General features: G+C 43.3%; 1 protein-coding gene across 4 annotated transcripts in view, besides 2 other annotated features; it reads right to left on the bottom strand.

Annotated features, from left to right (window-relative positions):
- The window catches only part of TSFM (Ts translation elongation factor, mitochondrial), a 20,070-nt gene extending 7,899 nt beyond the window's left edge, over positions 1-12,171 (bottom strand). For 2 of the 4 annotated variants that reach the window (NM_001172697.2, NM_005726.6), the window contains exons 1-5: positions 12,100-12,171; positions 11,675-11,848; positions 8,667-8,795; positions 7,796-7,918; positions 1,885-1,972 (exon numbers count right to left, since the gene is read on the bottom strand). In NM_001172697.2, the coding sequence (NP_001166168.1) occupies positions 1,885-1,972; positions 7,796-7,918; positions 8,667-8,795; positions 11,675-11,848; positions 12,100-12,156 (571 nt within the window). In that variant the 5' untranslated portion in view covers positions 12,157-12,171. Of the gene's footprint in view, positions 1-1,884; positions 1,973-2,930; positions 2,994-7,795; positions 7,919-8,666; positions 8,796-11,674; positions 11,849-12,099 lie in introns of all 4 variants that reach the window. The other 2 variants (NM_001172696.2, NM_001172695.2) reach the window with 2 other exon arrangements.
- Positions 11,541-12,410: an enhancer, noted in NCBI's record as "H3K27ac-H3K4me1 hESC enhancer chr12:58176331-58177200 (GRCh37/hg19 assembly coordinates)". NCBI's record gives its function as "activates a minimal SCP1, AML or CMV promoter by ChIP-STARR-seq in primed H9 embryonic stem cells {active_cell/tissue: H9 hESC(primed)}" and the evidence as "EXISTENCE:reporter gene assay evidence [ECO:0000049][PMID:30033119]".
- Positions 12,118-12,187: an enhancer, noted in NCBI's record as "active region_6559". NCBI's record gives its function as "activates an Ori minimal core promoter by ATAC-STARR-seq in GM12878 lymphoblastoid cells {active_cell/tissue: GM12878}" and the evidence as "EXISTENCE:reporter gene assay evidence [ECO:0000049][PMID:35858748]".

Raw genomic sequence — 12,416 nt, 5'->3', positions numbered from 1 at the left:
GAAACCCCGTCTCTACTAAAAATACAAAAAATTAGCCGGGCGTGCTGGCGGGCACCTACAGTCCCAGCTACTCAGGAGGCTAAGGCAGGAGAATGGCGTGAGCCCGGGAGGCAGAGCTTGCAGTGAGCCGAGATTGTGCCACTGCACTCCAGCCTGGGCAACAGAGCAAGACTCCGTCTCAAAAATAAATAAATAAATAAAGCATTAACTATAGTATCTGGCACATAGCACTCAAATGCTAGCTACTATTACAATAAGCTTAGGCTTAGAGAACTTAGGTAACCCACCTAGTAACACAAGGCAGAGTTAGAATTAAAACTCAGATCTGACTCCAAAGCAATTAGGTGCTTTTTCCCACCATCCTGAATACTCCATAACTGACACAGACAACTCCTGATCATCCCTTCTATCCGGAAAAAGTCCACAGCTCAAAGCACCATGTCATCGGATAGTTTCAATTTCCTCTCATCAAAAACAGAAAAGATAACATTGTCAAGAGTTATTTATGAGAACCAGAAACAGATTTTAACTTATTTTTCCCCTTTCTCTCAGGATGTTATTCTCTTCTAACAGAAGTCCAAATAAGCCAAAAGGTAAAAAGGGGTAGGAGAATAAACAAAAGGGTCTGTATAAGTATGCCTGGATTAGCCATAGTCATATCTAAAAGTCATGAAAAAGGAGAATCCAGAAACCAAAACAAATTTTAAAATAGCTCAAAGCATATACCCAATAGTTAATTCCCAGAAACTGACAAGGCTGAAACACCCAGCTCTTCCAGAATTTCTTAATAAGCCTCATACATAGCTGTCTGCCTGGTTTCTCACCCATGACTCATTGAAACATCATAGATAATACAAGATGACCTGATAAAAACGGAACTGATGCCTTGACTGGAAACTTCAGATTAGTAAATTCCCAGCAAGCTCCAACCCTTCCCTACCACCCACCCTCCATCAAGGATACTTAGGAAGAAAGCAAGATGCTAGTCCCACCACAATGATCCAGATGTGGTTCCTATAGCCAACAGGCTCTAAAAGAATGTATCTTTACAAATTCACAACCAGATTTTTTGAAAAGAAAGATCAAATTCCTAAAAACAATGCTCCTCAATTGTCCTGCCACCTTTTATAAAGAAGAGGAAATAATCTTTAATGTACTATTTTCCCTACAGCATATACTCAAGTACTCAGCTGGAAGTCAAAAGGCCATCTCTGCCTAAAGACATGCTTTGTTTTGTTGGCACAGTGATGAAAATAATTTTAATTAGTTGCAAACAGCCAAAATCCGTGAGATTTTGGATACAAATCTAAATTCTTTTAAGGAATTTAGAAATTCTGATGACCCCAGGACTCCGTTTCCCTAGATATAACAATTGGTTACAGCTTGGCAATGGGACTTCCTCCAGCAGCGTATGAGCTCTTTAAGATGCCTAATGTGGCCGGGCGCGGTGGCTCACGCCTGTAATCCCAGCACTTTGGGAGGCCGAGGCGGGCGGATCACGAGGTCAGGAGATCAAGACCATCCTGGCTAACACGGTGAAACCCTGTCTCTACTAAAAATACAAAAAATTAGCCAGGCGTGATGGCAGGCGCCTGTAGTCCCAGCTACTCGGGAGGCTGAGGCTGAGGCAGGAACCTGGGAGGCGGAGCTTGCAGTGAGCCGAGATTGCGCCACTGCACTCCAGCCTGGGCAACAGAGCAAGACTCTGTCTCGGAAAAAAAAAAGATGCCTAATGTTCCCTAACATCTAACACACACACCACTTCTCACGTTCGTATCATCTGACCCTTGTAGGCACATGATTCTTGACCTAGATTTGGAGGAACAAGATAACAAGAGATCCAGTCCCTAATTTCCAGTTTCCAGAACCTTTACAAATACTCACCAATTGCTAAAGCCAACTGATCCTTGAGTGAGCCTTCTCTGTCAGGCCCAGCTGGAAGTCCAGAAAGCTCAGAGGAATTCAAGAAACCCTAAGTGCACGAAGAAAACAAACATGAACTGATTCTGTACTATTCAAATTATCAAAAGAATAGGCAAAAATAGTCTATCTCTAAGAAAAGTATTGGCCAGGCGTGGTGGCTCACGCCTGTAATCCCAACACTTTGGGAAGCCAAGGTGGGTGGATCACCTGAGGTCAGGAGTTTGAGACCAGCCTGGCAAACATGGTGAAACCCCGTCTCCAACGAAATACAAAAATTAGTTGGGCATGGTGGCACACGCCTGTAATCCCAGCTACTGGGGAGCCTGAGACGTGAGAATCGCTTAAACCTGGGAGGCGGAGGTTGCACTGAGCTCAGATTATGCCAATGCACTCCAGCCGGGGAAACAGAATTGAGACTCCATCTCAAAAAAAAAAAAGAAAGAAAGAAAACATTCTTTAAGACAACTAAGTGTAGACAATATTTTCATAAAGGCAAGAATGTTAAAAATTGGTAACAGTTCCATCTTTATAAACATTTTATTCTATCACTGCACCACCCCCAATTACATTCCACTCTCATCCTCCAGCCTAACTTCCTAGAATGTAATTTCCTAGAAATCAAGAACAATTATTTTCTTTTTCTTTTAAATATAGAGATGGGGTTTCCCTATGTTGCTCAGGCTGGTCTTGAACTCTTAGCTTAAGAGATCCTCCTGCTTCAGTCTCCCAAAGTGTTGGGATTACAGGCGTAAGCCACTGCACCTGGCCAAGAACAGTTTTTTCTTTTTTTTGAGATGGAGTCTCGCTCTGCCGCCCAGGCTGGAGTGCGGTGGCATGATTTCAGCTTACTGCAACCTCCACCTCCCGGGTTCAAGCGATCCTCCTGCCTCAGCCTCCCGAGTAGATGGGACTACAGGCATGCGCCACCATGCCTGGCAAATTTTTATATCTTTTTTAGTGGAGACAGGGTTTCACCATGTTGGCCACGCTGGTCTTGAACTCCTGACCTCAAGTGATCCACCTGCTTCAGCCTCCCAAAGTGCTAGGTTTACAGGCGTGAGCCACTGCACCTGGCCAAGAACAATATTTTCATAAAATCATAAAATGTTAGAGCTAGATTTGCACATTTTTGATGGGAATGCAAAATGGTACAAATCCAATGGTGTGAAGTTGTAGTATCTAATAAAACTACATATGCATTTATCCTTTGACCCTGAAATCCTATTTCTATGAATTCACCTTGATGATATACTTCCAATAATACTGCACAAGATTATTCATTGAACAATTATTTCTAATCAGAAAATTTTAAAAACAGCCTAAATGCCCAAACATAGCAGGAGATTAAACTATAGCACATCCACACAACAGAATACTATGTAGTTGGAAAAAATAAAAAGGATGACCTTCATGAATTGCTATGGAGTATTTCCAGGACATATTATTAAGTGAAAAAAGCAGATTATAAGTGTATATGCATATTATACTACTATCTGTGCAACAAAGAACTATTTGTATAAATATGCTTATTTTTGCAAAAAGAAATACTGAAAGGATAACCACAATCCAATGACACTGGTTATCTAAATAAAGGGATGGATAGGAACGGGGTAGAAGGGAGAGAAGCAGTAAGACTCCTCTGAGCATACTTTTTTTTTGACAGTTTTAACTTTGAGGACTTTCTTAATGTATCTTATGTATTCAAAAATAAAATTGAACCTGGCCGGCCGGGCGCGGTGGCCCACGCCTGTAATCTCAGCACTTTGGGAGGCTGAGGCGGGTGGATCACCTAAGGTCAGGAGTTCGAGACCAGCCTGGCCAACATGGTGAAACCCCATTTCTACTAAAAATACAAAAATTAGCCAGGTGTGGTGGCGGGCACCTATAATCTCAGCTACTCAGGAGGCTGAGGCAGGAGAATCACTTGAACCCAGGAGGCGGTGGCTGTAGTGAGCTGAGATCATGCCATTGCACTCCAGCCTGGCTAATGAGAGTGAAACTCCATCTTAAAAAAAAAAAAAAAAAATCTGGCCCAGTGCCGTGGCTCATGCCCATAATCCAGCACTTTGAGGAGGCCAAGTCAGGCAGATCACTTGAAGCCAGGAGTTTGAGACCAGCCTGGCCAATATGGTGAAACCTCATCTCTATTAATATAAAAAAGATTTAAAAAACAAACAAAAAACCCCGAAGTGCTGGAATTACAGGCATGAGCCACTGTGCCCAGCCAAAAAAAAAAACACACATTTAAAAAATAAAATTAAAATAAAATTAAATCAACACATACTTGGGGTGAAAATAAATACTGACTACAAAGAAATATAAAACTATATTTCAAATGAGTAACATAAGCTCACAGAAGGAAAAAAAAAATCCAAATAACTAAACGGAGTCATTTGACCACCTAACTTCAATGTAAAGACAAAAAGAACTACAAATAAATCTTGAACTCCTTAGTAGTTTTGTTATTTGCAGTGGTCAGGGGTAGCAATTCTGAAACAATTTTGTATATATATTGTAACACTTAGTACATATGAGTACATAACTAAAAACAGTAAACATATTGAAGTTGCTATGAAAAAGGAAGGATTGAACCACACGCACACAGCACATACACCTGCACTGTCTGCTCGAAGAACAAATGACATCTCAGTAGAAATCAGCACACCTGGCCAGGCGCAGTGGTTCACGCCTGTAATCCCAGCACTTTGGGAGGCCAAGATGGGTGGATCACGAGGTCAGGAGTTCAAGACCAGCCTGCCCAACATGGTGAAACCCTGTCTCTACTGAAAATACAAAAATTAGCTGGGTATGGTGGCACGTGCCTGTAATCCCAGCTACTCGGGAGGCTGAGGCAGGAGAACTGCTTGAACCGGGACCCAGGAGGCAGAGGTAGCAGCGAGCCAAGATCGCGCCACTGCACTCCAGCCTGGGCTACACAGCAACACTCTGTCTCAAAAAAAAAAAAAAAAAAAAAGAAAGAAAGAAATCAGCACACCTAACATTCAAATCTTGATTTCTAAAAACCATTCCCCAACTAAAAAGGACCAGGACTCCTTGAAGAAGTGGCCCATTCCACAGTTGGGGAAAGGAAAGTATGACATAAACCCAAAAGATAAGAATAAACAAAAAAGCCAAAAAGTAAGAAAATACTCAGAAAATAATAAGGGCATATCAAAGGACATTACAGTCAGCTTGCATTGATCAAATCCGCAGATAATTTGAGCATCAAAACGAATAATGAGTTATAACTTATTGTATAAAATAAGAACCCACGAGTCAATGTTAGTGCTGAATAAATCACTAAATAAAAATGAGAAGGGAAATTTATTTCTAACAGTAGAATGACAACTACTAAAACTAACACATTTTGGCTGGGTGCGGTGGCTCACGCCTGTAATCCCAGCACTCTGGGAGGCCAAGGCGGGCAGATCACCTGAGGTCAGGAGTGCGAGACCAGCCTGACCAACATGGCAAAACCCCATTTCTACTAAAAACACAAAAAAATTAGCTGGAAGTAGTAATGCATGCCTATAATCCTAGCTACTCAGGAGGCTGAAGCATAAGAATTGCTCGAACCCAGGAGGTGAAGGTTGCAGTGAGCTGAGATCACAACACTGCACTCCGTCTCAAAGAAAAAAAAATCCTAAATGTGATCACTGTCCTGTGGTTATATAACAATGTCCTTGTTTTTACGAGATACATGCTGAAGGAATAAAGGATCCTGATGTCTGCAACATACTTACAAAAAGATTTTTTTTAAACAGTGATGATGACCGGGTGCAGTGGCTCACGCCTGTAATCCCAGCACTTTGGGAGGCCCAGGTGGGCAGATCACCTGAGGTCAGGAGTCAAGACCAGCCTGGCCAACATGGTGAAACTCCCGTCTCTACAAAAATACAAAAAAAATTAGCCGGGCATGATGGCAGGTGCCTGTAATCCCAGCTACTTGGGAGGCTGAGGTGGAAGAATCGCTTGAACTGGGAGGGAGAGGTTGCAGTGAGCGAGATGGCACCATTGCACTCCAGCCTGGGTGACAGAGAGACTCCATCTCAAAAAAAAAAAAAAAAAAGGGCGATGATAACATGTATATAAAAAGTGATAGGGCCAGCTGTAGTGACCCAAGCCTATAATCCCAACACTTTGGGAGGCCAAAGCAGGTGGATTTCTTGAGCCCAGAGGTTTGAGACCAGCCTGGGCAAGATGGCAAGACTGTCTCTACAAAAAACTTAAAAATGAGCCTAGCATAGTGGTGTGCACATGTAGTCCCAGCTACTCAGGAGTCTGAGGTGGGAAGATCACTTGAGCCCAGGAATTTGAGGCAGCAGTGAACAATGATTGTGCCACTGCACTCCAGGCTGGGCAAGAAAGCCAGATCTGTCTCTTAAAGAAAAAAAGAAGTGATAAAGCAAATACAGCAAAATGTTAATAAATGGCAAATCTGGAAAAAGAGTACACTGGGGCCAGGCATGGTGGCTCACGCCTGTAATCCCAGCACTTTGGGAGGCGGAGGCGGGCGAATCACTTGAGGTCAGGAGTTCAAGACCAGCCTGGCCAACATGGTGAAACTCTGTCTTTACAAAAAATACAAATACTAGGCGTGTGTGGTGGCGGGCGCCTGTAGTCCCAGCTACTCGGGAGTCTGATGCAGAATTGCTTGAACCCAGGAGGTGGAGGTTGCAGTGAGCCAAGATTGCACCACTGCACTCCAGCCTGAGTGACAGAGCAAGACTTCATCTCAAAAAACAAAAACAAAAATAAAAAAAAAAAGGGTACACTGGTGTTTACTGGCAAAATCAAAGCTAAAATTTCTAGTTCAAGTGACTTACCTACTCAATACAATTAAAAAAAATAATCTCAACATTGTTTTCCATATGACTATGTAATGCCAATAATAATTAACATTTACCAAGACATCTCAAGAGAAGGATAAAGAAGATAAAAAAAGTTGGTAATAAACTCAAAAAAATTACTGTGAGTGGTTGGTTCATCTTTGCCTTGGCAATAAGGCTGAGTCAAAGGCAGAATGACATAATTCCTTTCCTTGATCCCTCTATGGATAAGAATATGCTTATTTTCCTAAACCATGTCTTTTCCAATCTCTCTCTCTTTTTTTTTTTCTGAGACGGAGTTTTGCTCTTATTGCCCGGGGGGAGTACAACGGCTCACTGCAGCCTCTACCTCCCGGGTTCAAGCGATTCTCCTGCTTCAACTTCCCAAGTAGCTGGGATTACAGGCAAGCGCCACCACGCCCAGCTAATTTTGTATTTTTAGTAGAGACGGGTTTCTCCATGTTGGTCAGGCTGGTCTTGAACTCTCGACTTCAGGTGATCTGCCTGCCTCGGCCTCCCAAAGTGCTGGGATTACAGGGGTGAGCCACCACACCTGGCTCCAATCTCTTTATTTAGAAATTCTTTCCTAAGACCATTCCAAATTTCTGAACACAAAGCCTCAAATGGCTTCACTTGATCTGGCTAACTCCATTTCACTGGCATGCATGCATTCAATCATTCATTCATTCATCTGACAAAGATTTACTGAGCTCCAACTAAGTAGTGGGCCCAATTCTCTTTCACCAGAGATACAACAGTGAAAAGACAAATTCCCTGCCTCATAAAGCTTACATTCTGCTGGGGAAGATAGACAACACACAGATAAATTAAAATGTAATATATAAGCACCATAATAAAAAATTTTAAATGCAGCATGACACGGGGATATAGCAACGGGGGAAGGGTAATTCTATGCAAAGAGATAGCATTTAAGCAGAGATGTGAAGTAACAGAATGAGACATGAGAATGTCTACAATAGGAACAGCAAAAGACCCAATGAGGACAGCAAATTCAGCACACTGGAGACAAATCCCAAACTTACTTTACTGTATGCAGAGGGTTGATCCTTTAGGGTCTGACAATGCATCATGGTTCCAAGGGCTACTTGCTGGACCAACAGTTGAAATTTTAAATTTCTAGAAACAAAATCTGTCTCACAGTTTACCTGTGGGAACAAATTGATATAGCTGTATAAGCTGTTTAATGATAATTTCCAAAAGTGCCTTAAGGCTGGAGAATAAATCAAGATACTGATAGAACAAGCTACAGACTCAACGGAAAAAAAATGACTCCAAAATTTTAAAGCTACGCTTCCTCTCCTAGCCTGGAACAGAATGAAGTGATTTATGTTGGGCCAGTGAGTTAGCAATAGCCTGTATATTCAGAAGATGGTTCAATAATGTCCTGAAGGACTCACCACAAGTTCACCACTTACCTATGTCTGCACACCATCATCACCTCATTCTCCAGCCATCCCAACTCCAAACCACTTATGCTATTATCTTGTTTATCCCCATCTCTCACTCTAAACTAATCCACATCTGACTCTTCACCAATTATGGCCCCCAAACCTCCTCTAAAATACCTACTCTCTATTCAGCAACAATTAATATAATTAACTTGTAATCTAACTGTTCCAGGAAACAATCAGTGACAAGGTGTAAGCCTGTGCCAGACTCACATTCAGGAGTAATATTCTAGACTGTCAGGCCATTTCTCATCAACACACCAGTACATTTCTATACTTAAACGAATTCGTAACTAATACCCAGGGTTTCATGAGTTTAACTTCAACTACGCTTTATGGTTCTTAAACAGATCTCTTCTTCAAGAACAGGCCCCTTTAGGGCCTACTACAAGCTTTACACCCAAGGGACAGCTGTTCTTGGTATCTGGAATTTCCAACAACTCACCTCTACTAATACAGTTGTGTTTCCTTCCTGCAACAGCCCAATCAGGCCTTCTTTGGTCTTCCTCCCTTGGAGCTTGGCAGCTTTGCTCCAGCCCTCCTTCTGGGCCTCCTTGTGGAGCCAGATCTCTGCCTGTAAATTGAGAGGAAAAAGAGCAGACAACAAAGTCACAGAATTTAGCACTAAATGTAGTTCTAAGATATACTCAGGTTTCCTGATTCTCTAAATTCTCTAACAGAAACTAAAGTAATCTATCATTTACTGGCAGTCTACCACTAAATGCCAAATACCAGGTATTATTATAACTGGTGCCTTGGATGAATCTAATCTTCACAACAACCCTATGGGGCACACAGTTGTATTTTCTTTATACAGTTACGCACCACATAACGATATTTTGGACAATGACGGACTGCATATATGATGACGGTCCCTAAGATTATAATGGAGCTGAAAAATTCCTATTGTCTAGTGACACGGTAGTCCTCCTAACATTGTAGGGCAACATATTACCTACATGTTTGTGGCAATGCTAGTGTAAAGAAAACGTCTGTGCTGCCAGTCCTATTAAAGTATAGCACATACAATTACATATAGTACATGATACTTGAAACAATAATGAACAACTATGTTACTGGCTTATGTATTTACTATAATACATATGCTTTATTGTTATTTTAGAGTGTACTCCAACTTATAAACTACTCGGGTGGCTGAATTTCTTGAACCCGGGAGGCGGAGGTTGCAGTGAACCAAGATCTATCGCGCCACTGCACTCCAGCCTGGGTGACAAAGTGAGACTCCGTCTCAAAAAAATAAAAAATAAAAAAATTTAACAGTAAAACAGCTTCAGGCAGGTCCTTCAAGAGGTATTCCAGAAAAAAACATTGTTATCATAGGAGATGACAGGTCCATGCCCGTTACTGCCCCTGAAGACCTTCCAGCAGGACAAGATGTGAAAGTGGAACACAGTGTTAATGATGATGCCACTCCTGTGTAGGCCTAGGCTAATGTATGTGTTTGTGTCTCCGTTTTTAACAAAACAATTTTTTAACTTAAAAAAAGTTTTGGCCAGGCGCTGTGGCTCACGCCTGTAATCCCGACACTTTGGGAGGCTGAGGTGGGCGGATCACAAGGTCAGGAGATCGAGACCATCCTGGCTAACACGGTGAAACCCTGTCTCTACTAAAAATACAAAAAATTAGCCGGGCGTGGTGGCGGGCGCCTGTAGTCCCAGCTACTCAGGAGGCTGAGGCAGGAGAATGGTGTGAACCTGGGAGGTGGAGCTTGCAGTGAGCCAAGATTGTGCCACTGCAGTCCAGCCTGGGGGACAGAGTAAGACTCTGTCTCAAAAAAAAAAAAAAAAAAAAAAAAAAAAGATATTTCAATAAAAAAAGTTGTTGTTTTTTTTTTTGAGACAGAGTTTCACTCTTATTGCCCAGGCTGGAGTGCAATGGCACGATCTCGGCTCACCACAACCTCCGCCTTTTGGGTTCAAGAGATTATCCTACCTCAGCCTCCCGAGTAGCTGGGATTACAGGCCCTTGCCACCACACCAGGCTAATTTTATTTTTTTTTAGTAGAGACGAGGTTTCTCCGTGTGGGTCAGGCTAGTCTCGAACTCGCAACCTCAGGTGATCCGCTTGCCTCAGCCTCCCAAAGTTCTGAGATTACAGGCATGAGCCACCACGCCCAGCCAAAAAAAGTTTAAAATTTTAAAAACAGAAAAAAGCTCACAGAAAAAGTGCATAAAGAAAAATATTTTGGTACAGCTGTACAATATGTGTTTTATGCTGTTATTACAAAAGAGTCCAAAAATTTAAAACATGTTAAAAGTTTATAAAATAAAAATGTTACATTAAACTAAGGTTAACTTATTATCACAGAAAAAAATTTCTTATAAATGTAATGTAGCTTATGTGTACTGTGCTTTAACGTCTACTATAGTGCACCATAGTGTCCTAAGGCAGGCCTTCATATTCACTCACCACTCACTGACTCACCCAGAGCAACTTCCAGTCCTGCAAGCTCCATACATGATAAGTTCCCTATGGAGATGTATCGTTTTTTATCTTTTATGCCTATTTACTGTACTTTTTCTATGTTTAGATACACAATACTTACCACTGTGTTACAACTGCCTACAGTATTCAGTCCAGTAACATTTTGTAACGGTTTGTAGCCTAGGAGCAGCTGGCAATTCCATATAGCCCAGGTTGTAGTACAATATACCATCTAGGTTTGTGTAGGTACTCTATGATGTGCATAAGCCAAAATCTCCTAACGACGCCATTTCTCAGAATGTATCTTCCTATTAAGAGACGCATGACCGTACAGGCAAAAACTACACAACTCTGAAAGATTAAGATGTCTAAAGTCAGCCGGGCGCGGTGGCTCACTCCTGTAATCCCACCACTCTGGGAAGCCGAGGCGGGCGGATCACCTGAGGCCAGGAGTTCGAGACCAGCCTGGCCGACACGGCGAAACCCCATCTCTACTAAAAATACAAAAAAAAATAAAAAATAAAAAATAAAATAGCCGGGTGTCGTGGCGCACGCCTGTAATCCCAACTACTCAGGAGGCTGAGGCAGGAGAATCGCTTGAACCCGGGAGGCGGAGGTTGCAGTGAGCCAACATCGTGCCATTGCACGCCGGCCTGGGCCACAGAGCAAGACTCCGTCTGAAAAAAAAAAAAAAAGTCTAAAGTCAGACAGTGTGGGGGCCCCACAATTTGACTCCTGAACAATCTGACTCCAAAGCTCACACAAACCCTTTCAGCTCCAGGCAACAAGAAACACCGTAACAGTCTGGTTTGTTAATCCTGGGATACTCAACTGCTTTCAAATAAGACAAAGTCAAGGCCAAGGTTGTCATTTAAGCCAGATTTCCACTTAGGACTGTGCCATTATGGTCACTGAAGAGCAGTCTAACTTTATGCTCCCCAGCGTGACCGCCCCAAGAGTCTGAGGTCGAGCTCTAGTACTCCGCCCTGCACCCCTCCACACACACACCTGTTTGAGGTCCCCGCCACAAGTCTCCAGAGCTTTCTTGCAATTTACAAAGGAGTAGCCTGTTTTCCGCCGCAGCTTCATGAGGAGCTCCTTGCTGGAGGCCGAGGCAGACAGACGGGGCCCAGCATAAAATGTGTGCCTTGGCTGGGGCGACTGACGCAGAAGAGACCCAGCCTAGATGAGATAAGAAAGGGATGAGGAGCAGGAAGCAGCAAACTCCAGAGGGTGAAGGGTACACGGGCAGGGAAGCGACCTTAGGGAGCGGACAGTGTGCAAAGGGGGGTGCACCGGGGCTGGACTGGGCAGAGGCAATGCTGTCGGGGAAGGTGAGATGGAGTCAAACGAGGTTGGGAGGAAGGGAAAGGTACAGGCGCACAGGAGAGCTGCAGGGACAGCAGGTCGGTACCAGCACCAGGACTTCTCACCGGGTAGCTCCCGGTCCGCGCGACCAGAAACACGCGCAGCGACCGCAGCAGCGACATCTCTCTAGCCGCGATAAACACCCTCCGGCGGGCGCACTGGTGAGGCAACAAACCTACGGCGCGGCGGAAGGGCCAGAATTCTCCAGCGGAACGCACCAAACGAGTATGGTGCCACCTGCTGGCCGGAGGAACACAGTCCTCGCCTCTACTTGATTTCTTGAGACGACACATTTCATACGGGAATTACCCCCCACCTCCCACCCCAGGTAAAATAACAGAAACCAAGAAATAAAGTCGTCACAAAACAACAACACAAGAAA

The sequence above is a fragment of the Homo sapiens genome, chromosome 12 (assembly GCF_000001405.40).
Source record: "Homo sapiens chromosome 12, GRCh38.p14 Primary Assembly".
Taxonomy (NCBI): Eukaryota; Metazoa; Chordata; class Mammalia; order Primates; family Hominidae; genus Homo; species Homo sapiens.
Note: the sequence above shows the minus strand (reverse complement) of the source record. Positions and strands in the feature narration are given on the sequence as shown.